Source organism: Homo sapiens, chromosome 7 (genome assembly GCF_000001405.40).
Source record: "Homo sapiens chromosome 7, GRCh38.p14 Primary Assembly".
In the NCBI taxonomy this organism is placed as follows: Eukaryota; Metazoa; Chordata; class Mammalia; order Primates; family Hominidae; genus Homo; species Homo sapiens.
In genome coordinates this window covers 129,362,585-129,387,224 of record NC_000007.14, presented here as the reverse complement: position 1 = coordinate 129,387,224, position 24,640 = coordinate 129,362,585, and the positions used below count along the sequence as shown (strand labels likewise).

Genomic DNA, 24,640 nt, shown 5'->3' with positions numbered 1-24,640 from the left:
CAGTCTAGTCAGTGAGTCAAAAAAGAAATAACTAGTTACAAAATTAATTATTTAGAGCTTTAAAAAATACATCTGTAATGTGTGCTATAAAGCAGAAATCAGGATGTCATAAGACTATATAATAGGAGAACATGACTTGTCAGAGTCAAGTTGTTAAGCAGATTAAGTAAGATAATGTATGTAAAGTGTTTACTGCAATGCTTGGCATACAGTAATTAAGCACTCAATAAATGATACCTGATATTACCCACTTTAGCACATATTTTAAATTCAGTTCCAGATATAACATCTTTAAGGGTTCTTACTCAGCTTTAAGATTTTGAATGGGAAAAGAATGATATACATACATAATCATTTAGCAGTTTATCTTTTTTTATACCTCCATCATCTCCTACTAATCTACCCAAACAGCAGGTGGTTGGCTGGCAGTGATTTGAGAGGTTGAGACTGGAGTCCTAACTCTACCCAGAAGAGATTGCCCTTCCTATGCCTCTTTAGTTTCTAAGAATGAGTCAGAAGAAAACCAAAAAGCAAAACAAAATTTGAAAATTTCCCCTTAAGAGAAGCATTCCAATTTCTGGCTTTACCATTTCCCCACACCAACTCAAAGAAAAAAATCTTTACACCACTTCTCTATTCTAAAACCTGGAAAAAACAGTGTTTTACTTTCTTAACAGGAGTCAAGTAGTTACAGTTAATTCAACCAATGTTTTTCTTTGAGCCAAAATGTATTTGTTTTCAAAGATCCCTTTTTTTTTTTTTGAGCCAGGGTCTTACTCTGTCACCTAGGCTGGAGCACAGTAGCACGATCTCAGCTCACTGCAACCTCCGCCTCCTGGGTTCAAGCAATTATCCTGCCTCAGCCTCCTTAGTAGCTGGGATTACAGGAGCCCACCACGGTGCCTGGCTAATTTTTGCCTTTTTAGTAGAGACGGGGTTTCGCCATGCTGGGCAGGCTGGTCTTGAACTCCTGACCTCAGGTGATCCGCCCACCTTGACCTCCCAAAGTGCTGGGATTACAGGCTTGAGCCACCATGCCCGGCCTCAAAGAGCCCTTTATACGGACCTGCTATCAGGTAAGAACCAAAAATATCAGTTGTCTAGATTGTACTACTATGTGGATACGACATGGCTGACAGATCCAGACCAAGAGAATATATTATTAGTTCTGCAAACACAGTGGAAAGGTTATTGCTGAATTATAAATGAATGAATTATAAATAAATGAATAAATAAATTTACTCATTTATTCTTTGAATCCGTACTCATTTCTGCCACAGAGTAACAAACTCATGATGACAGTTGAGATAGTATTAAGGACTGTTCCTAGGAAAATTTAGAGAAACCCAACACGTATGTACAAACACACTTGAACAGAGTTTCTAAAATATTTGTAATTGTCAGCATACTCTAAAGCCCAGAGTCATAATTTAAATAAACAAGAACAACCAATAACCTACTAAAGTAGTCCTGAGATCCTAGATCTAGCTTCAACCCTAAGTGGTTAAGTGACCAATTTTCAATTTATCCAACTGTAAACTGTAACAGATTCCCTCTTTCCTCATGCTCTCTCTTTCCCCCAACTACCACCGGAAAAATCTTACGAATAAATGAGATGATAACCAAAAGGGTTCAGTTTCTACGTAGAAAAGTAGTATGAAGTACAATATAACTTTACTATGGGATGTTATCTTGTTTCATTATTTTCCAAAATCAAAAGACAGCATGATGAATCAAGAATCCACAATCTATCTCACAGAACATGTATACACATTTTATGATTCAAGCCTGATTAAGCTTTACCTCTCAGCAGCTGTGATACTGTGAGTTACTGCTAGGAGAAGCAGCAGTCAGAACCCTGACTGAATTAGTCCTATTAGACTATTTTATGTCAGGCAATTCCTCTTGGGCCTAACCTATTCATTTGGTAATGGAAATAACAGTAGGGACCTGTGTGTCGGGTTATAGCAGACTTCACTGATGAGTAACACTCTGGAAATGTGTAAAAAGCTATGCTAGCATCCCAAATACAAACACAAAATTTTGTTGTTTGGAAAAATCTGAAAATATCTCAAACTTTATAAGAATTGTAGAGTTTGGGAACAAAAAGAACCAATCGTGAAGAAGGGACTTCTGTCTTCTTTCCTCATCCTTAACCAAGTAACTCATTGCAAAGACAGCTTATTCAGAAATATATCACTGAGAACGGTCTGATTAAAAAAGAAGTCTCTTCTGTTCATTTGTTTTTATGAGGTTTTTTTCCTTAGGGGAAGAGTTTTTTAGAAGTTTGCTTCTTATAAAATAGTTTCGTGGATTAATGCAGCGTTTTTCAACCTGGGTTCTGCTAGAAATTAAGTCCTAATGCCTTGAAGCATCCATTGTACATAATGAATTAACTTCTCTCCTACGCATCTGGAAAGTACTAGTTATGTATCATCTTTTGGAAAATTAAGAAAAGTCTATAAAATCATTTTCTGTGTTCTGTGATTCAGATGAGGATCCCTGGTTGAGAAAAGCTGGCAGAGGTTCCTAAATGAAAGCATGGCAAAACTTAGTACTAGGAGCCTTAGGAAGGGAGACGAGGCTAGAGCCTATGTAAGCCTCTGAGTATCTTCAGCAAAACAAGCACTTTGGACAGGAAAGTATCTTTTTTTGAAATCTCATAAACCTGCTTTTGTTGTTCATACACACTGAGTATATTAGGGACCTCAACAAGGGTATAAAAGTATAACGTCTCTGAACACCTTTCACCAATATTTATTTATTGAGTACCTCTTCTGTGTCAAACACAGTTCTAAGTGCTGGGAATAGAGCAATGTAAAACAGAAAAAAAAAAAATCTCTGTTCTCATGGATCCTGCATTTAAATAGAAAGGAAAAGACCAAAACATATTAGCAACATATTAGCAACATAATATATATGATATATATTATCATATATATGATATATTAGCAAAACATATTAGCAACATAATATATATGATATATATTATCATATATATGTTATATGATAAGTGCTATGAAGAAAAATAAAGGAGGAAAATTTGACAGAGAATGTTGGGTGGAGTTCTGTATCATATTTACTTTTAATGAATTAATTTTTAATTGACAAAAATTGTATATATTTATGTGTATAACATGATGTTTTGAGATATGTACACATTGTGGAATGGCTCAACAGAGATAATTAACATATGCATTATCTCATATCCCTATCATTTCTTTGTGGTGAGAACACTTAAAATCTGTTGTCTTAGCAATTTTCTAGAATACAACACATTGTTGTAACTATAGTCACCATGCTGGGTACAATTTAAAAGAGTAGCCAGGATAGGATTCAGTGAGAAGTTGATAATTTTTGGTGAAGAACTGAAGGAGGTAAGGTAGCCAGCAATGCATGTATCTGGAAAAAGAGCATTCCAAGTAGAGGGAACAGGTACAAAGGTCTCGAAGCAGGAGAGTGCATGGCGTGTTTCAAAATAACAGTAGGAGGCTAGTAAGGCCAGAGTGAAATGAACATCTCGGGGAGGGAGGAGGTTTGGGGAAGTAGAGAGGTGAACAGAAATGTAGGCCATTGTAAGAACTTTAGGCTTTACCTAAGAGTGAGATTGGGAAGCCACTGGAAGGTTTTAGGCAGTGAAATGATATGACATGACTTATTTTAAAAGAATACATTTGGCTGTAGTGTTGAGAATAGACTGAAGATGGGTAAGGTTGGAACTGAGGAGTTCAGTTTTTAATACATGGGAGGTTTGAGATGTCTATGGGCTGGGTGCCATGGCTCATGTCTGTAATCCCAGCACTTTGGGAGGAGGATTGCTTGAGGCCAGGAGTTTGAGACCAGCCTAGGCAACAAAGTGAGACCCCTATCTCTACAAAAAAATTTTAAAAAATTAGCCAGATGTGATGGTACACATCTGTAGTCCTAGTTACTGGGGAGGCTGAGGTGGGAAGACTGCCTGAGCCCAAGAGTTCGAGGCTACAGTAAGCCATGATTGTGCCACTACACTCCAGCCTGGACAACAAAGCAAGACCCTGTCTCTTAAAAAAAAATAGAATAAAATAAAAAGAGATATCTATAAAACATTCAAGTGAAAGGACTCAGCAGGCAGTTGTATATATGAATCTAGTATATAGGAGACAGATTTGAGCTGGATAAAATATGAGAATCAAACACCAATACATGATATTTAAACCTATGAGATAAATGAGTTCATCTAGGGAGAAAGTATAAACTGAGAAGGGAAGAGGTCCAAGGATGAGTCTTTGGGGCTTTCCAGTGTTAATTTCTATAGTCATTTAAATTATTAATTTTTTTTGAGACATAGTTTCACTCTTGTTGCCCAGGCTGGAGTGCAATGGCATGATCTTGGCTCACCGCAACCTCTGCCTCCTGGGTTCAAGCAATTCTCCTGCCTCAGCCTCCCGAGTAGCTGGGATTACAGGCATGTGCCACCACACCTGGCTAATTTTTGTATGTTTAGTAGAGATGGGGTTTCTCCATGTTGGTCAGGCTGGTCTCGAACCCCCGGCCTCAGGTGATTCGCCGACCTCAGCCTCCCAAAGTGCTGGGATTATAGGCGTGAGCCAACGCGCCCTGCCTAAAATTATTTTTTTTTATTAAATAAAAAAAAGTCTCACTCTATTGCCCAGGCTGAAGTGCAGTGGCACAATCTTGGCCCACTGCAACCTCTGTCTCCTGGGTTCAAGCGATTCTCATGCCTCAGACTCCGGAGTAGCTGGGATTACAGGCATGCGCCACGACGCCTGGCTAATTTTTAAATTTTTTGTGGAGACGGGGTTTCACCGTGTTAGCAAGGCTGGTCTTGAATGCCTGACCTCAGGTGATCTGCCTGTCTCGGCCTCCCAAATTGCTGGAATTACAGGCATGAGCCACTGTGCCCAGCCTAGTCATTTAAATTATAACATATGCTGAAAATGGGCCCCAAGTTTTTATTGACACATATTTGCATATATGTCTTGTCATATTTAGAGAGTTGTGAGTCAGTTCCATTACTTTTGGCTTTTCATTCGATGCACATGAAACTCTTTTTCTATCATTGTATATAACTTTCCATTGTCTGTGTTACGAAGATGCCAGGTGCAAGAGTTTTCCAGCGTCACACAACAAATCAAACATGGATCAAAGACTAGAAACTAGGTCTCTCCTAACTCCTAGTCCAATAATCAGGATAGTAGGCATTTCTAGTCAGAGTCTGTTTAAAAGGGCTTGACAACCATTCACTCAAAGGGGAAAAGAAAAAGAAAGAAACAAAAAACAAAACAAGGTAACAGTGCATGTGATGCAGCTGCTAAAGAAGCAAACATTTTGGGTTTCATTTTAAAAGCACTGAGTTTACAGAACTAACACTTCCTGTAGATTAGTTCAGACCACTGAGAATATTATGTTGATAGGCATAATGTTTTTAAAATGATACCTAATCTGAAATAGATCCAGATGAGGGTAACCAGGACAGTGGGATACCCCTAAATCAGGCAACCAAAGCCAGCAAATTTTAAATAAAATCTTTAAATTCCAGGGATTATATAAGAACTTATCAGGAGATAAATAACTATGTATAGTAAGTAGCACCCTATGTTCCAAAGAGGTCAGCAATTAGAGGGAAGCAGAATGAGATCTTTAAGTTCTTTTTCATCTCCAGGATGTTTTGACTTCCTGTGCCTGAACTTAGTATCATTAAACAGATACATTAGGTAGACAATTTTTGACTTATAAAAATGATAATTTCATATAGTTTAATCTAAAAGGTCCAAGTTTACCAGGATGATACCAGTCTATATCATTCACCAATGAGCTATGCCAAGCCACTATGTGCTCACTTAGAAACTAAGAGCATTAATTACTCTCTTCCAGGTAAATAGATATTTTTTAAAGTACCCTCCCTGCCTATGGGGACTGGGTGGGAAGGCAGGTATTGGTTTCCTCTGCAGGAATATAGTTGGATATGTATATCTAGTGTGTAGGGGAGAGACTGAGCTGGAGTTAAAATTTGATATTATTATTATTTAGTATCAATCTTTAGATAACATGCACAAACCCACAGCTTGAAATGTTACAAACTATTTTACAATTCACATTTTTCACAATTATTGTGGTTTCCAGAGTTACATTAACCAGTTTGTGAATTTTCAACACTGCTTATTTCAGCAGAATAAGATAGGTTTCCTGGCCTGGCGCAGTGGCTCACGCCTGTAATCCCAGAACTTTGGTAGGCTGAGGAGAATCATTTGAGCTCAGAAGTTCAAGACCAGCCTGGGCAACATGGTGAGATTCCATCTCTACAAATAATTTTAAATTTAGGCAGGCATGGTGGTGGGTGCCTGTGGTCTCAGCTACTCAGGAGACTGAGGTGGGAGGATCACTTGAGTCCGTGAGGTCAAGGCTGCAGTGAGCTATGACCATGCCACTTGCACTCCTGCCTGGGTGACAGAGTGAGACCCTGTCTCAAATCTTGTGCTACCCCACAAAAAAGGTAGTACAAGATTCTGTATCTTTAGATAAAAATCCATAGGAAGTGATATCATATGCTTTACATCATTCACTGTTACTGTGGGGGGAAAGTAAAAAGACAAATGTAAAAAGTATATAAATAATCTACCCAGCCTAAAAGCTACAGCTTCCCAAACAACTGTTTTTCAACTTTATATAACAAATATTACTTTCCTATTTGTACGAAGAACAAATAAAATTTCAGGTCATAATAAACATTTTCTAATGAATATTACTATTTATAATGTGAAGAGGTAACTAGGGCAAGCACTCAGCTCCCTATCACATCCCAACACAAGAGCAAAATAAACTAACTCCATATTAAATCCGACTCATACTAGGCAGCGTTTAGCATACTAGCCGATGCCTTCAAGGGGTCCTACACAGTAACAGCTCACCTGGCATTAAATGATAACTCAGTCCCAGGGCACATGTATCTGAGTTAATGCCAGTGCAAAGGATGGGAGGAATAACAAGAAGTCCAATGTCACAGCTTAGGAGAGAAGGCAAAGGGCTCACTTGCTTGAACTAGCTACAGTGTGTCATTACTTCTTGGGGCAATTGAGGTTTCCCTGTTAATTTGCAAGTACCAGATGGAGGGATGAAGAATTTCTTTTTTATTTTCAAAGGATGAAAAAAAAAAAAGACCACAAGTATATACACATACTGTTCCGGAAAGATCATCAATGACATATTCCCACCCTTCTGAGTAGATTAAAGAATTCAATTTCCTTAATCACCCTCTTCTGACTCTATTGGAAGAGGAGGCCTCTATTAAGCTCCACTCTGAATTGCCAAGAGAAATCCAAATATTCCACCCAGCATTTTAGTCTAAATTTTGACTCGAAGTATTTATTCAAAGCACAGTCTTGGTCATGCTTAATTAGCCTTGGATAGACAGGAGGGCCCATTGAGATCGTACTTATTAGCCTCAACAGCTGGGTCCACAGCAGTTCAGTACTCACCTGAGCTGTAGCTGTCAGTAGATGACTGAGAAATGGAACGAGACAAAGAGCGACGTCCAATTTTGGTGGGACGTTTGTTGAATTCTTGCTTCTGGTCAGCAAACTGGATCTGCTAAGAAAAAGAAACCTAGTTATATAAAGAAAAAGAACCTCCATTTTGAGACAGCAATTCAAGGCTTGTATTACAGGCTTTCACCTTCCCTAACAGTTGATCTGATTGTATCAACCTATGTTTGGGATATTAAGACCCTTTGAAGATAAGAATACTTTTTCATTCTTCTTTTTTTTTTTAAATAGAGATGGGGTCTTTCCATATTGCCCAGGCTGGCCTTGAACTCCTGGGTTCAAGCAATCCTCTCACACAGCTGGGACTACAAGCATGTGTCACTGTGTCTGGCAATGTCTCATTCTTTACCTACTATGTTTCTAATCAAATTTAAATCTTTGATACACTTTTTTTTTTTTTTTTTGAGATGGACTTTTACTCTGTCACCCAGGCTGCAGTGCGGTGGCACGATCTCGGCTCACTGCAACCTCCACCTTCTGGGTTCAAGTGATTCTCATGCCTCAGCCTCCTGGTAGCTGGGATTACAGGCACACACCACAATGACCTGCTAATTTTTATATTTTTAGTAGAGACAGCATTTCACCATGTTGGCCAGGCTGGTCTCGAACTCCTGACCTCAAGTGATTCACCCACCTTGGCCTCCCAAAGTGCTGGGATTATAGGCATGAGCCAGTGTGCCTGGCTACTCTTTGACTATATGCTTTTTACAATAAAATTGTGACACCCCACTCCCCACAAATAGAGAATGGGATATTCTGGTTAAATTTTTAGAAAATTGAGTCATATTCAGAAATATTTTATACAGTTTCACTGAAAAGTAAAACTGGAAAGAATATTTCAGATTATCATATTTGTAAGCTCCATATATCTAGATGAGAAAATTGCAAGGTACAAGAAAGAATATTTGAGATTATCATATTTGTAAGCTCCACATATCTAGATGAGAAAATTGCAAGGTACAGGAAGGCAAAATCACTTGCATTCAGGTTTCAAGAATCTCAGGAAATGGTAATGATTTAATAATTTTTAAAAAGCCTTTTCATTAAGAATGAACATTCTGAAATTGCATTTAAATTCTGGCTATGCCACTCATTAGCTGTGTAATGTTGCTCAAGATGCTTTAGTGAGTCTCATTTTTCCATAAATACAACAGAGATAAAAGTACTTACCTCACAGGTTTTAGAGAGGGTTCAATGAGACAATGTGTGTAAATTGAAACATAGCAGGAAATTCAATAAATCTACTCCCTACCCAACCCCTACGGTTCAATGCTCTCGTAACTCTTGCAGGTAGCCACTCTAATTTGTTAAAGCTTTTTAAAATATATTAGTTAGCTTTCCAGTACTAGTAAGTAAATTTATTTTTTTTTTTTTAGATGGAGTCTCACTCTGTAGCCAGGCTGGAGTGCAGTGGCTTGATCTCGGCTCACTGCAACCTCCACCTCCTGGGTTCAAGCAATTCTCCTGCCTCAGCCTCCCAAGTAGCTGGGAGTACAGGTGTGTGCCACCATGCCCAGCTAATTTTTGTATTTTTAGTAGAGACGGGGTTTCACCATGTTGGCCAGGACGGTCTCAATCTCTTGACCTTGTGATCCACCTGCCTTGGCCTCCCAAAGTGCTGGGATTACAGGCGTGAGCCACCACGCCTGGCTAGTAAGTAAATATTAATTTATTTTTAAATATTTGATATTATAAAATACCTAAAAGCAGTAAGATTGATCATTAACTATAATAGATGTAGAAGGAGCAGATTAATTGAATGAATATGTATAAGCCTCATATCATACTCTGGACATTGCATTTTGGATGATTATTTGATAATGATTTTCTTACAATTTTATCTTTCTCCTATTGTTGGAGGTTCCAGCTGATACTTTATAATACTCTACAAATCAAAGGTCACTTGTAAGCTATACTTGTTTGGGGAAAAAAAGCTCATACAATTTATTGAACTAATAACTTTTTTGTTTTCTCTGTTTGTATAATTGCCTATTCTGGATCCAAGGTGGCATAGAGGAAGGTCTAATGAAAATGATCAAAGGTCTGACAAGTGACTCTACCTTTAATGATAAAAAGATGGTTCCTTGATGGGCAGAACATACAGTACACCAGAATGAAAGCAGGAACTGACGGCTCCACTTCCTGCAGTTAGAGGTAACTAATGAGTCACTTGAGTATTGCGACAAGGGACCAATGCCAAATTGAAATAGCTTCACATTGCCTTTTAGGGGGATTCATAGCATTTTCATAGCTATAACAACAAATAAAGCCTACAGAGTGCTTTAGGGCTTGCAAATTGTTTTCAGCAATAGGAAAACTCATCGGATAAGAAGTTCTTCATGAACTAAAAAAAATGACAAAGATGATTATTTTGCTCAACTAGCAATTTATTCCAAAAAGATAAAGTGCCCTTTCTATGTACTCCCATAGGACGTACATGAACTTTCATGTATTGCATTTCTCCTAGCACAGCACTTACCACAATGAATGTAACTATCTGTCTACTTACCGGTATTCTCTATAAACTATAGGCTCATAAAGGGAGAAGCTGTGATTCTTATTCACCCTTATATCTGCAGGCACAAATCCTAGGCACTCAATCAAGTGCTGAATCAATATATCTGAAGTAGCCTATTCTATCTTCACTGTCTATACTTGTTTGAATACTCACTAAATATGGCAAACATAAACCAAGTCTAAAGTTAAAATGATTTTTAAGGGCAAAAAGAGCTGGGAAGAAGAGGGAAGGTGGAAAGCTGGGGAGGTGGACAGCAGTCAGGATGCAAACTCTGGCTTCCGTTTCACCAACCTTGTTCAAAACAGTCACATGTCTTTATTCTTTTTTAGAAGCCCATCCAGGAAAAGGAATAATAATGGAACTTTTCCAGTGTCCCCTTTAAAGAAGAATAGATAAACCGTGTTTCAGATGCTCAACACAACCCCAACACAACCACACACCTGCGTACATGTACATGTGGGTGCATATGCACACACACCATGTACACACACCACTAGAGGGGGCCAGTCACTCTTATACTCTAGATTGTAGGCTCAAGGTGAATAAACCATATAGCTATCTAGCTGCATTATCATCTCAAACCAGTTTATCTGAGCTGAGCTGTCTTCTCTATAGTGTTTTCTATTTACAGCAATCCCTCCTTCCTGGGACAAGTTCATGCTATCTTTTAATACTAAAGAAGACTAGGTTGTACAAGGCTTTCTCCACTTAGAACATAGGGTTCTAAAACCTTGCTTACTGGTTAGACACCGAATTCAAGTTTCTTTAAGACAGAAAAATATTAGAGTGAGATTAACCACTTAAATATAAGTTATGCAATTTTCCGCAAGAAACGAGTATCTTTCTCTGACGACCAGAACATGAGTTAAGTGGCTCCCTGGTGTTTACCTCCTCTTAATAATTAAACACCAATATACAGTCCATTTTGTAATGGATTGGTTTTGTAATCTGCCCACCCCAATTGTGGTACCTTAGTAGATTCTACCCCTAACTTTCCTACCTTGTCTGGAACCAGGGTCTTTTAAGGTAATCCTCCTTTTCCATTTGAGAGAGAACTGCCTAATTCCAACAGGCATTAAGGCAAGGGAGGGAAAGAGACTGTTAAAAGAGGGGTAGCTCACCTTATGCCAGAGGGAGGGATGAAAGCAGGAAAGGAGGGGAAAAAGAGTATAAGCAGTCGGCCTTTTACAATAATGGCTATAGCAGCGGCAAGACTGGTAAATAAGAGCTTAGCCTCACCTGGGCCTTAATCCCAGAGTTGCCATTAACAATGTATTTCTTCTTGCTGCCCAGCATAGTGACATTACCAGCCCCACTGCCACCTCTGTGGTCCAGGGACCCTTGTGATCAGGCCTTTAAACTTTCCTCATCAGCAATTCTGTTGGCTCTGGTTCCAGCCAGCTTTTTGGGCTGGGGAGTGGGGGACTACTCTTCCTTGGAATCCCTGAAGCAGCTCCAACAACCCCTTCAGCAGTACAGCCCCAATTTAATAAGGCATTTCTGTTAGTGGCTCAACAGCCATTCCTAATTCTAGTGGCTGTTTTGCTTTTACTTGTTTTTTTCCTAAACACCTAATTACATGGATCCTCTGACCTCTAAACCTTGCAAGTCCCTTGACAAGGCCCAACTTGCATGCGCATAACAATAGCTTATTTATATAACCACTGCACTTTTTTGCTCGCTATAATTAACTTGCTAATTAGGTTCCTTTTCAACCTTACCTCCTCCTTTTCCATGTCAGATGATTTTAGTTAACCTAGTCTCATTAGAAAAAAATTAACCACAGAGCCACTTAAACAATGAGAGACTTCATTAAAGGAGTAAGAAAAAAAAATTAATGGTGCCAAGTACTCAGGCAGGCCCTACCCTACACTCTGTGTCCTTGGATTAGCCAGACTGGGGACACTGATTTCAGCTCTGTCACCAAGGAAATCAATTTTCTCAGTTCACTGCTTTCCTCTGAATTGTGCATCTTTTATACAGGTTTTGACATTTGGTTTCTAGTCCCAGCTCAAGATTGTTGCTGATTTGGCACAGAGTGACCCAGTTTGCTTTTTTCACAAAATGTGTGTTCATGGAAGGGACGACTACAAAGGGAAGTTTCTTATCTCCTCAGAGTCCCCCGAATCACAACAATCTTACTACGTGCCAAATATTCAAGCAAAAGGGCAAAGAATCACATTATTTATTTGCTGATTTCTGAAAGAGACATAGTGAGGAAGAAAGCTACACTCAACTGTCTGCTACAGAGATTGGGGGGAAAGTGATGTCAATTCTTCCTTAATTAAAAAAAAAAAAAAGACTGCTTGTTGAGCACAAGAAAGGACATAAAATGGCAGATTTTTTTTTTTTTTTTTTGAGATGGAGTTTTGCTCTTTTTGCCCAGGCTGGAGTGCAATGATGCGATCTCGGCTCACTGCAACCTCCACCCTCCGGGTTCAAGTGATTGTCCTACCTCAGACTCCCAAGTAGCTGGGATTACAGGCATGTGCCACCACGCGGGCTAATTTTTTGTATTTTTAGTAAACATGGGGTTTCACCATTTTGGTCAGCTGGTCTTGAACTCCAGACCTCAAGTGATCCACCTGCCTCGGCCTCCCAAAGTGCTAGGATTACAGGCATGAGCCACTGTACCCAGCCGGCAGATTTTTTTTTTTTTTTAAGGATAATCTTTATTTAGAGAGAGAAGGTCACATTGCATACTGCTTATTGACATCTCTGGAAGAGAAAAGTTTGGTAAGTGCCTATTTTCACAGTTCTGTGTATATGTTACTTCTATTAATTTGTACAAGAATCTTAAGAATTAGGCAGTATTATTCTCACTTGACAAAGCAGGAAAGTTTAACTCTAAGAGAACAAATGATTTGTCCAAGGTCTCACAGCAAGTAAGTGATGGGACTGGAATTTGAGCCTGTGTTTATGCTAGAGCCAAAGCTCCATCTACTATACCATGCCTCATAATATTAATCAGAAGACCAAAGGTCCTAGTCCTAGGTGTACTAGCCTCAAATCATTCCTTTTATCTTTAAATTTATTTAATTTAAAATTACTCTTTAAATTCATTTTCGTATCAGATTACATCTTAGAAATGACATCATCCCGGATAATCTTGGGGCCCTGATCAAGTCACAATTCTAAAACACCTAATTATATAAGAATTAGAACTCTAACAGCTCTTTAAGGCAACTTTGCCCAATGTCACTACCAGAAATGGAAACAGAAATTAATTGAACTCAAATATGAATATTCACCATCACCCACAGCAATTCTGATCTCTTACTCATAATTTCACAAAGTGAGACAGATCATTTGCTTGCTTGATGAATCTCTCAACTTTTGCTCCTCCTAACAAGAATGTTCACCCCAGTCCGCATGTACTAAGCTGGTTCCCCTTTCCCTCACTCAGGTAAAAAGGAGCTCCTTGGTCCAATGACTTAAGTCAGATAACTTGAGCCAGAAGGACTGGCATATCTATACCAAATAGAACCAGAAGACATTTTAGGAGACAGGAAAAGCCTTACCACTTAACAAGTTTTGTCTGTTTGTTTGTTTTGGTTTTTTTTTTTGAGACTGAGTCTTGGTCTGTCACCCAGGCTGGAGTGCAGTGGCGCGATCTCGGCTCACTGCAACCTCCACCTCCCGGGGTCAAGTGATTCTCCTGCCTCAGTCTCCCGAGTAGCTGGGACTACAGGCGCATGCCACCACGCCTGGCTAGTTTTTTTGCTTTTTTGTTTTGTTTTGTTTTTTTTAGTAGAGACAGGGTTTCTACTAAAAAAAAACTTAAAAAGTTCCATCACTTACTTCGTGTTAGCCAGGCTGGTCTCGATCTCCTGACCTCGTGATCCGCCCACCTCGGCCTCCCAAAGTGCTGGGATTACAGGCGTGAGCCGCCGCACACAGCCAATAAGTTTTTATAGAACACAGTAACTTTCAAATTTTAGCTGCATCAAAATCACCTGGAGAGCTTATTAAAGCACATTGCTGGATCTTAACCACCAGAGTTTTTGAATTATTAGGTCTGGAGAGGGCCCAAGATTTTGTATTTTGTAATTTAAAAAAAAAAATTTTTTTCAGCTTCCAATTCTCTGGTTGAAGATTTTGTGTTTTGAGTAACTCCCCGGGAGACGCTGATGCTACCAGTCTGAAGACCACACTTTGGAAACCACTGCTCTAACACTTTCTCCAAGCGTGAGTAAAGCAGCCCTGATTCTCTTGACTCTACTTAACCAACCATTCTATCCTATCATGGCTATAACCATGGAGGCACGTTCACAGGCAGAAAAGTAAAGGTTATTTGAAAGGTCAGAGAATACAATGAGGTGATCCTTTCTTTTCTTTCTTTTTTTTGGGGGGATGGTGTTTTGCTCTTGTCTCCCAGGCTGGGGTGCAATGGTGCCATCTCGGCTCACTGCAACCTCCACCTCTCAGAGTTCAAGTGATTCTCTTGCCTCAGCCTCCTGAGTAGCTGCGATTACAGGAGCACACCAACCATGCCTGGCTTATTTTTTTTTGTACTTTTTAGTAGAGATGGGGTTTCGCCATGTTGGGCAGGCTGGTCTCGAACTCCTGACCTCAGGTGATCCATCCACCTTGGCCTCCCAAAGTGCTGGGATTACAGGCATGAGGCACCACGCCCAGCTGAGGTGATCTTTCTTTACACCCAAAACAGGGTCTAAAGAAAACTGGGTCTAATTCTGCTTTCCGTAACTTAAGGCTCTTAAGAAGAGACAGGTAATATATTAAGAAAAACAGGACTCATGGGGAGGACAGAAGATCTATTTATCCTAAAGAGGATCAAGGCCAAGAGAAACCAATTAATTCCTTTTCAAGTACATAAAGTAATACTACAAAGGATGTATCTGTGTCTCTACTTCCTAAGGTCTGTCATCATTTCTAAAATAGGGATAATCATATCTACTTTGCCTATTTAAAATGTATGCTGAGATAATAAGATGTGAGAGGGTTTTGAAAACTACATATTGATATGCAAGTCTAAAATATTAATATTTCTATTCTTTCAAATTAAGTGTTCTTAACCTATATTCCATGGATGTCTAGAACCCCCTACAACAGTATGCAAAATTTTGTGTTTTTAATATCCTGGGGAGAGAGCCCATAGTTTTCATCAGTTTTTCAAATGGCTTTCTGTTTTAAGCACCAATCCTGACCTAGAGTGATAGTCAAGCTACCTCTACCACCATTTATCAGACACTTTGGAGATTTTTGTCTCTACTTCCAAGTAGATATGGTTCAGATATTCCTCAAAACACCTCTCTCTTCCAAGCCAAATGAGCGGCTTGAACTAACTCTTTACCTATGAAAAGGATTACTTCTTGCCAAAAGAATATCGGGCATCAAGCTGGCTGGATACTCATGAAAGTCAATCAACCAGATTTCCTATGGAAAAGTACAGAGAGCTGGAGTGGGAGGAGGAGGAAATATTAAAATGTTGAAACACAGAAAAAGTTATTGCTGATCTCCATGCATGTCAGTCGAGGTTACTACCAGAAGGGACTAAAGATCTCTCAGGGGAAGTAAAACACATTAATAAAGACAGTCTTTAAAAGGAAGTGTTCCCCAACCTTTCAGCAGTAAAGCTGTCTGAACAGGGCTAAGAAAATCCTTCACATGAAAACAGCTGAGGAGCAGAGGCTCCAGGAGAAGTTTTCCAGTGATTGATGGAACGTAACCTTGAAAGTCTACCTCGTCAGTTCTTGAGATTGGGGTTCTTCAGGCTTCATCCCGGCTTATTTCCCTGCTGGAAATCAGAGATGTGAGTACTGTCAGCTGTTATATGTGGTGTGAGTCCTATTCTCTGAGGGATATGAAGTCCCTTTTTGCTGGTGATTTTTAACAAAAGGGAGATGTTGTAATATACCTTCTCTGCTAAATTTTTCTCCTGAAAGAAGATTTGAGAGACTTCTCATATTTCCTTTGGTGGCAGGGATAGTTTCAGTGGAAATTTCATTACACTAATATGTAAATGGGAACATGAGTAAGACACTCGTTAAAACTTTAAATTGAAACTTTGGCCCAACATGGGAGCTGGAGCAACGGTTTTTTTCTTGGGGATTAAAAGACACTTTAACATTTTACAAGTAAGGTCTGGAAATCCATCGGCAATACACTAGAGGGTGCTCAGAGGTTAGCTTTCTTGGCTAAGTGGCTATCAGTAGCAACCTAATGAAGTACTTTCAGACCAAGTCAGGAGTCAATGACTTACGTGGTATCTGAAAGAAAGCCTCAAAAGTCTTTGGCAAAGAAAAGCTAGCAAATGAGACAATCGTGTTATTGAAGACTAGCTCCTCCCTATTCCTTTTTATTGCTGTTCAAAATACTGAGCAAAGGTATTTTCCTGCTATTTAAGAGAGAATGGCTGAGAAATTCCTAAGTGAGAGTAATACCTTATTAAAAACAGAACAGAGCAGAGCTGTGCTTTTCTAAATTATTATTTTGTTTGTTTGTTTTGAGACGGAGTCTCACCCTGTCGCCCAGGCTGGAGTGCAGTGGCGCGATCTCAGCTCACTGTAAGCTCTGCCTCCCGGGTTCATGCTATTCTCCTGCCTCAGCCTCCAGAGTAGCTGGGACTATAGGCGCCCGCCACCACGCCCGGCTAATTTTTTGTATTTTTAGTAGAGACCGGGTTTCACTGTGTTAGCCAGGATGATCTTGATCTCCTGACCTCGTGATCTGCCCGCCCTGGCCTCCCCCAAAGTGCTGGGATTACAGGCGTGAGCCACCGCACCCGGCTGCAAATTTTTTTATTTATTTTTTACCAACCAAGACACAACACTAAAGAGCTGTGTTTTATTAAATAAAGAGTGTTTTCTAAAAGCTGGGAAGCCCTAGATCATATCCCTTATGCAGTGGTCACACCAACTCCTTTAGGGCAGTCTTCCCATTCACATTAACTAGAAAGAAGGTAAATGGGTGAAAGTTCAGCAGGAGCCACTACTGAACTTTGAGGGGATGTGCTAAGCTTGTAAGACGGTGAGGACTATGACAGAAATAAGAATTATTATAAAACTTTGATTGATTCTGAGTTGGCACACTAATGTTCAGTAGAATTCTTCTGTAATATTCCTTTATAGAAATACCAAAGTTTGATACCTTAACGTGGCCCTTCCCTTAAGAAAACCAAATTTCTTTTTCCCTCTTCTTGTTATTAGTGAGTAGCAAGAAATTCAAAAAAACTCAACCCAATCAGAAGTATTACATAAATCCTTCCATTAATTCTAAAACACTATGTTACTTGGAATAAGCTTGTAGATGGATAGGTTTTCTTTCCACAAAATGTTTTAAAATTGAACACAAGACTGAGCGTGGTGGCTCACACCTGTAATCCCAGCACTGTGGGAGGCCGAGTTGGGTGGATCACCTACGGTCAGGAGTTCAAGACCAGCCTGGCCAACATGGTGAAACCCCATCTCCACCAAAAATACAAAAATTACCCGGTATGGTGGTGCACACCTGTAATCCCAGCTACTTGGGAGGCTGAGACAGGAGAATCACTTGAACCCAGGAAGCGGAGGTTGCAGTGAGCTGAGATCACGCCACTGCACTCCAGCCTGGACAACAGAGCCAGACTCCATTTCAAAAAAAAAAAAAAAAAAAACCTGAACACAATGTTCTGAAACGACATTAAGAAGAACAGCAATAACCTCCCCCAAAACAATAAAAAATAGTTGTAACAATGAGTTGAAATGTAAGTTCCTCAGGGGGCCTTTGTTAGGCCTACTATATATTCTATCTCATTATCAATAGTTATTTCTTCAAATCCATAATTCTATAAACACTAAAAAGAACTTGAAATATGTTTTAGAGAGTCTAACTAGTTTTCCATAGTGGGGAAACACAAATCTGTAAACATAAACCTGTGTGGGCTGTAAGAAATCAGGCTAAATCTAGAAGAAACTATTTAGAAACATAAGGATGGTTATTGTCTTTAAAAGTTGAAATTCGATCCAATATAATAGGTTTATATGCTAGTTCTTATCAACAAATAAGTCCTTATTATCATTTTAGTAAAACTACTGATCAGGCAAACATGGTATTCTGAAGAACTGTACCAAGAGAGCTGCAGTTCCTGCCATAGAGAAATATATATATAAAGGATAGCTGGGGGGGAAATAGGGAAATGTTGTGACTGAAGGGAAAAATACGGGCAGGGAGGGGAGAAATGTTTGCAATCTTTGCAGACTTCAGAGAGCACCATTTCTGTAAGTTCTGTTTTTGTTTTTTCTCCTCATTGTTCTTTTTCTTTACCCCCAGAGAAACAAATGAAGCATCAGGTTGAAAACAGAAGTGCAAAACAGTCACAGGAAACACAACCCATACATCACACCAGCAGCCGGAGGAAAGCCCCTGCCCACCAGAGATGACCAGGCAACAAGCCCTGGCCAGGCAACTCTCACACCTTTCCCAGCTTCGTGGATAATTAAGAAACAGTGGTGACCTAGTACCTAGGAACTAATCAGAACGTAGAGTAATAACTGTTTTTCCAACCACGGATCTTGGTAGGAGCTTCTCAGAGGTGATCCTTGTCACCCGTCAGAAATGGTTGCCTCTCATTATCAAGAAACAGAAGGAGAAACAAAACGACCAGTGAACTCACCATCCACTCAGGCATGTGAAAAGCTGAGGTGCCCTCATTACCGTCCCACTTCTCCATAGTGCAGGCTTGGGTAAGATATGTCCTGAAGCAAAAGGGAAAGCTGGTTTGGAAATACTGGGGTTATCTGAGTGCCCCAAAGCAGACCCAACCCTAGTGAGATTCAGAAGTTCACAGTGGCTAGCAGAAGCTGCATCCCTTTTCACAGCAGCCTCCGATTCAAATCAAGAGCATTAGTCAACTGCCTGACAACCCCTTACTGGCCGGCTTCAAAGCCTTCTGTGTCTGATTTCAAAATCAGAGCTGATGCAAAGTGCTGCACCCAGGCACTGTGCTTCTCACAGGGCACTCACTGTTTTAATGCTACCCAAACACTCTACCCGCACCTCCCCAGTGGGGACTTTCTGCAGCAATAGTTGGACTTCCTTCTTTCCCTGTGTGTGAGGCACTTGTGAATTCTCTCCCACCCTTCAGGACACGTCACTGGAGGTGCGGATACCAAGATCAATAAAGACTGAGGTCAGGAAGGCACTCCCATTTCTCAAGAGTTGCTTGATTTGGATCAGTAAACAGGCGTTTCCTTGAAATCAAGAGCTCCTAGGGCTTTCAAGTTTAAACAGCTATGCAGAAGCTCCCCATCTGCTCACACCAGGGGTCTGGCACCAAACTCTCGCATATCTCAAGTTAGAGTCTTATTGCATGGGAGGTTCGGATGGAGCCTAGGAAGATCTTTTTCAAAATCAGAATTTCTTAGCAGCTCTAAGAAAGTTCTGGGACGACAGCTCCCTCTGCTGGCTCCCTGTGCTACATACACGAAGGCCTCAGGGCCCGCAGCTACAGACACACAGGTGCTGATTGCAAAGTGACTTCACTGAGGCTAGTCAGAAGCCACCACAGTGTAGGTTTAGAGGACAGCCAGGGTTTCCAACCAAGACTAGTGCTGCCTCAAAGTCCCTAACCAATGCTGGATTTTACACACAGATCTGGTTTCAGGAAGAAACAGGATGCCAGTGCAGTAGCCCTGTACACTATCACCTTAAAGGACCTCCGAAGTTGTTTCTGCTTTATCTCTCCATACCAACTCCCTCCTTGCTGCACACTTCAGAATTTTGGAAATAAGACATAACTAGAAAAAAGGTAAGCTAGCCTATCTCACCTGCTTAGTTCATTCCTAGAGTATATTATCCAATAAGAGTACCACAGGTTTCAGGCACAAAGGAAGCCTAACAAGATATGCCTGCTTTGGTCCCTTTAAGGACCAGGACTCTTTACAGTGTTAATTCCCATTGAAGAGGATAGTTTCTCTACAGCTAACAGTGACAATATTATAATTATGATTATAGGCTCTGTGAAAGGAAAACATCTTGGGCCCCCAAAATCACTAAGCCAAAGGGAAAAGTCAAGCTGGAACTGCTTAGGGCAAACCTGCCTCCGATTCTATTCAAAATCACCCCTCTGCTCACTGAGATAAATGCACATCTGATTGCCTACTTTGAAGAGGCCAATCAAAAACTCAAAAGAATGCAACCATTTGTCTCTTATCTACCCATGACCTGGAAGCCCCCTCCCTGCTTCCAGATGTCTCGCCTTTCCAAACTGAACCAGTGTTCATCATACATATGTTGATTGATGTCTCATGTCCCCTTAAAATGTATAAAACCAAACTGTGTTCTGACCACCTTGGGCACATGTCATCAGGACCTCCTGAGGCTGTGTCATGAGTGCACATCCTCAATCTTGGCAAAATAAACTTTCTATAAACTTTTTTTTTTTTTTTTGAGACAGAGTTTTGCTCTTGTTGCCCAGGCTGGAGTGCAATGGCGTGATCTCGGCTCACCGCAACCTCTGCCTCCCAGGTTCAAGCAATTCTCCTGCCTCAGCCTCCCGAGTAGCTGGGATTACAGGCATGCACCACCACGCCCGGCTAACTTTGTATTTTTAGTAGACAGGGTTTCGCCATGTTGAGGCTGGTCTCAAACTCCTGACCTCAGGTGATCCACCTGCCTCAGCCTCCCAAAGTGCTGGGACTACAGGCATGAGCCAGCACGCCTGGCCAACCTTGGCAAAATACTTTCTAAATTAACCGAGACCTGTCTCAGATGTTTGGGGTTCACAGTTCATCACCCTGTAAGGCCTTCATTACTTAAGAGAATGGTCCTTTGGATTTGGAATGGAGGAGAGGAAGGTAATATCTATGGAAGAGGTACTGTAAGATGCCAGAGAGGGCAGAATTCAAATGAATGGCCAGAGGTTTGACTGGAGAGAAAGGCAGGTGAAAACAGGGACTGTTGAACCAGGTGCATTCAGACGTATCAAGGGATCACAGGGAGGGTGGAGAGCAGGCGAAATAAGAACAGCAGAGGTAGAAGTAAAGGAAGCTGTGGTCATAGAGGAGCTATGGAGTTGAGGCGACTTGAGTGATGTCAGGACACAGGGTGATGAGATGCAGGGAAAATAAGGCCCACTGAAGTCAGAGTGTCAACTCTGATAAAGTCTTAGCTCCTAGCAACCTCTAATTATTGTCCTCTGTCTTCCTTTAAACCCAGAGGACTTCTTAAAATGAGAAGTCACATCTGTTACCTAAATTGCCAATGGTGTATTTCATCTGTGCTTTAAATGCAACACATCTACAATCAACATTATTGCTGTCTTTCCTTTCCCGCCCCCCTCCAAACAACACTTTCTTCTCCTCACTTTTTGTGTTTGTGATGCCACTGTCCTCAGGCAACCATATATGAAACCTCAGGCACCTTTGATTTCCCCCTTTTCCCACAGTCCCCAGAACAATCACTTGGATATTATTTCTGTGCCCTCCTCCACCAAACCTTTCATCTATCCCTTTCTGTTCATTTTCACTGCCTCTTAACCCTCTACAAATCCTTTCCCAGAAGACAATCCACTTCATACCCATATATATATATATATACTCTATCCTCCAGGTAAACTGTATTATCTGCTACTTCTTGAATGTAAAGACTACACAGTATGGTGACCATGAACACTGGTTTTGGAATCAGACAGAGTTAGGTTAGAATCCTGCCTCTGCCACTTACTTGACCTCTCTATATAACTCCAATTTCCAATTTGTATGGTGGAAATAATAAGAGCTACCTACCTAACAGGACTGATGCAAGGATTTTAAAAGGGTACATACTCTAAGGAGTTAATTAATGGTAGCTCTTAATTATGTTATTATCATGCTGTGTTCTTTCCTACCTCAATGCCTTTGCTCATGTCATTTTCTCAAATCAAAATGCATTCGTTTCTGCCTTCACTTCCATTATCTTCACTTTTTCAAATATTTAAAGGAATGATAGTTCTACCATGAAACCTGACCTTAAAAAAGGAATCTCCCCTTCATCTAATATTGTTCTTTGGCTATATCACTATTCTCACCATTCCTCAAATTATAGTTCCTATGTATGTGTGCTACCCCTTGTTAGTCTCCAGGCTCTTCAGGGGCTTAGCCTACTTTGATTTGCCTACAATACCTGCGATATAGTAGGTGCTTAAGAAATTACCAAATTTAAAATTTATGTATGCTGTACGTATTCTTAATTATACTTTGGGGGCAACTTGCATACTCAATGTATTCAATATGTTTATGTCCATTTTATAGAATTTGGAACACTGTTTTATATTTATGAGGCTTAGTTATATTACTGACTACACCTATATGACTTATTTGACGAGAAGTCCTTAGTAGGGTTTTAGTCCTTAATTATATTATCTCTGCAGGAATATATAATCCATTTTCCATTGCTCGATCTGCACCCATTGTAATCCATTTTGATCTGCATTATAATGAAACTTTTAGGAACAAATTAAGGCCAAAAGTCTATTTTATGGCTAGAGTGAAGCCCAACCGTTAGAATATTTCAGTGATAAGAAAATTACTAGATTATATTGATAGTGTAGACTAGTGTGGTAACAATAATAATTTTAAAAAAGAAAAGGTAAAAGAAGCTGGGCGCAGTGGCTCACGCCTGTAATCCCAGCACTTTGGGAGGCCGAGGTGGGCAGATCACCTGAAGTCAGGAGATCGAGACCAGCCTGGTGAATGTGGTGAAACCCCGTCTCTACTAAAAATGCAAAACTTAGCCAGGTGCAGTGGCCCGTGCCTAAAATCCCAGCAACTCAGGAGGCTGAGGCAGGAGAATTGCTTGAACTTGGAAGAGGTTGCAGTGAGCCGAGATCGCGCCACTGCACTCCAGCCTGGGTGACAGAGTGAGACTCCGTCTCAAAAATTAAAAAATAATAAAAAGTTAAAAAAAATGTTTTTAAGGTAAAAGAAAAAAATTAATATTCTATTCTATTCTATTCTAACCTAAGAGGGTCTCACTATGTCATCCAGGCTGAGGTGCAGTGATGTGATCATTGCTTGAACTCCCAGGCTCAAGTGATCCTGCCACCTCAACCTCCTGAGTAGCTGAGACTACAGGTGTGCACCACCACACCTGGCACATTTTTGAATTTTTTGTAGAGATAGCGGTCTCACTGTGTTGCTCAGGCTTGTCTTGAACTCCCAGGAGTTCACCTCAAGTGATCCTCCCACCTTGGCCTCCCAAAGTGCTGGGATTACAGACATGAGCCACCGTGCCCAGCCTATTTTCTCTATGTAATGATTTATTAAATAAATAGAAGATGACAACCTTCATGATAGTGTTAAACCACAGAAGAAAATGACTTTTAGAGAAACAAGATTAAAAATAAAATAGGCCAGGCATGACAGCTCATGCCTGTAATCCCAGCACTTTGGGAGGCCGAGGCGGGTGGATCACTTAAGGCCAGGAGTTTGATACCAGCCTGGCCAACATGGTGAAACCCTGTCTCTACTAAAAGTACAAAAATTAGCTGGGCGTGGTGGCGGGCGCCTGTAATCTCAGCTACTCAGGAGGCTGAGGCAGGGAGAACTGCTTGAACCTGGGAGGCAGAGGTTGCAGTGAGCAGCCTGGGCAACACAGTGAGACTCCATCTCAAATAAATAAATAAAAGAATAAACACAAGTAAAATATATCACTTTGGCAGGCTAAACTAAGTGTTGTTTTTAGTTATGACTTTTTTTTGTTTCCTTACTGTAGGTTTTAACTAAAATAGACTATTTGAACACTGCAACCTCACTACGTCTTTCTGCAACAATTCTGAAATGGAAATAAAATAGTAGCTATTACATTTGAGAACTGAAGGCCTATTAACTGACAAAGACTGTGTAAGGCATAAGGTATAGGTATAAGTACTAGTTATAAATTCGTTTCCAATATAATTCCACTTTACCATAATGTGCCTTAGAAGATACACCTATAGCCAGGGCAGGAGTGAGACCACTGCATATGATTATATTACCCTTAACATGTAGGTGAGGAGTTGGCAACTTCAAAAAAAAGTTATGCAAACTGTATCGGCTCCTGCGGCTTTCTGTTGTACAAAAATTGACCAAGTATCTGAATAGCTTAGAAGAATCTTAACTCCAAAAACAGCTCAAAATCCTCTGTGCCAGTTGTATTCCCACAAGTATTGACTCGATACTATCGTCATCCATGAGGGCATATGGCCTGCCGGATGATCTGAAGTCAGTGAGTATGTGCTTAGGGCCAAAGGGGAAGGGACAAAAAGTTACTCTTTTCAGGGCTCAAAGCTAAAAAAACCCCCAGGCAGTGAAGATGTTACTATAATGGCAGAACAGTTTTAATCAAAAGGTGATGAATCTGGAACCTAGAGATAAGGCACAGGGCAAGGAATACAAGAATGTGACCCTGTCTTCTTTTCCTGGCTTTGTTTTATTGGACTTTGGCAAATCACCTAATTACCCTTCTTCAATCTCCTTATCATAAAATGAGAGGGAGGTAAGGAAGAGTGAACTGTGGAAGGTTAGAACTGGTTCCTTCCAGTTCTAACACTATTTCCAATCCATCTAGATTCTCTGAGACCATAAAAAAAAAAAAAAAAAAAAAAAAAAACAAGAAAACCAAT

The 24,640-nt window shown here is 40.3% G+C and overlaps 1 protein-coding gene and 1 long non-coding RNA gene across 18 annotated transcripts in view, besides 3 other annotated features; one reads left to right on the top strand and one right to left on the bottom strand.

The window, feature by feature from the left end:
* The window catches only part of AHCYL2 (adenosylhomocysteinase like 2), a 205,182-nt gene that overhangs the window by 42,987 nt on the left and 137,555 nt on the right, over positions 1-24,640 (bottom strand). For 2 of the 16 annotated variants that reach the window (XM_047420087.1, NM_001130720.3), the window contains one exon: positions 7,476-7,584. In XM_047420087.1, the coding sequence (XP_047276043.1) occupies positions 7,476-7,584 (109 nt within the window). Of the gene's footprint in view, positions 1-7,475; positions 7,588-9,601; positions 9,741-10,350; positions 10,436-11,059; positions 11,157-11,298; positions 11,388-18,673; positions 18,846-18,930; positions 19,085-24,640 lie in introns of those variants that run through there. The other 14 variants (NM_015328.4, NM_001393387.1, NM_001393386.1 and 11 more) reach the window with 13 other exon arrangements.
* Positions 4,500-4,684: a silencer, noted in NCBI's record as "fragment chr7:129022382-129022566 (GRCh37/hg19 assembly coordinates)". NCBI's record gives its function as "represses an EF-1alpha promoter that drives an FKBP-Casp9 reporter gene in an ReSE screen in K562 erythroleukemia cells {active_cell/tissue: K562}" and the evidence as "EXISTENCE:reporter gene assay evidence [ECO:0000049][PMID:32094911]".
* Positions 9,547-19,201, top strand: LOC107986847 (uncharacterized). Of its 2 annotated transcripts, none has more exons than XR_007060518.1 (3): positions 9,547-9,695; positions 14,134-15,832; positions 18,331-19,201. It is a non-coding gene; the product is annotated as an uncharacterized LOC107986847 (long non-coding RNA). The 2 variants fall into 2 exon arrangements; XR_001745359.3 differs by lacking the exon at positions 9,547-9,695 and adding an exon at positions 12,713-12,795.
* Positions 10,851-11,410: an enhancer, noted in NCBI's record as "H3K27ac hESC enhancer chr7:129015656-129016215 (GRCh37/hg19 assembly coordinates)". NCBI's record gives its function as "activates a minimal SCP1, AML or CMV promoter by ChIP-STARR-seq in naive H9 embryonic stem cells {active_cell/tissue: H9 hESC(naive)}" and the evidence as "EXISTENCE:reporter gene assay evidence [ECO:0000049][PMID:30033119]".
* Positions 11,411-11,971: an enhancer, noted in NCBI's record as "OCT4-H3K27ac hESC enhancer chr7:129015095-129015655 (GRCh37/hg19 assembly coordinates)". NCBI's record gives its function as "activates a minimal SCP1, AML or CMV promoter by ChIP-STARR-seq in naive H9 embryonic stem cells {active_cell/tissue: H9 hESC(naive)}" and the evidence as "EXISTENCE:reporter gene assay evidence [ECO:0000049][PMID:30033119]".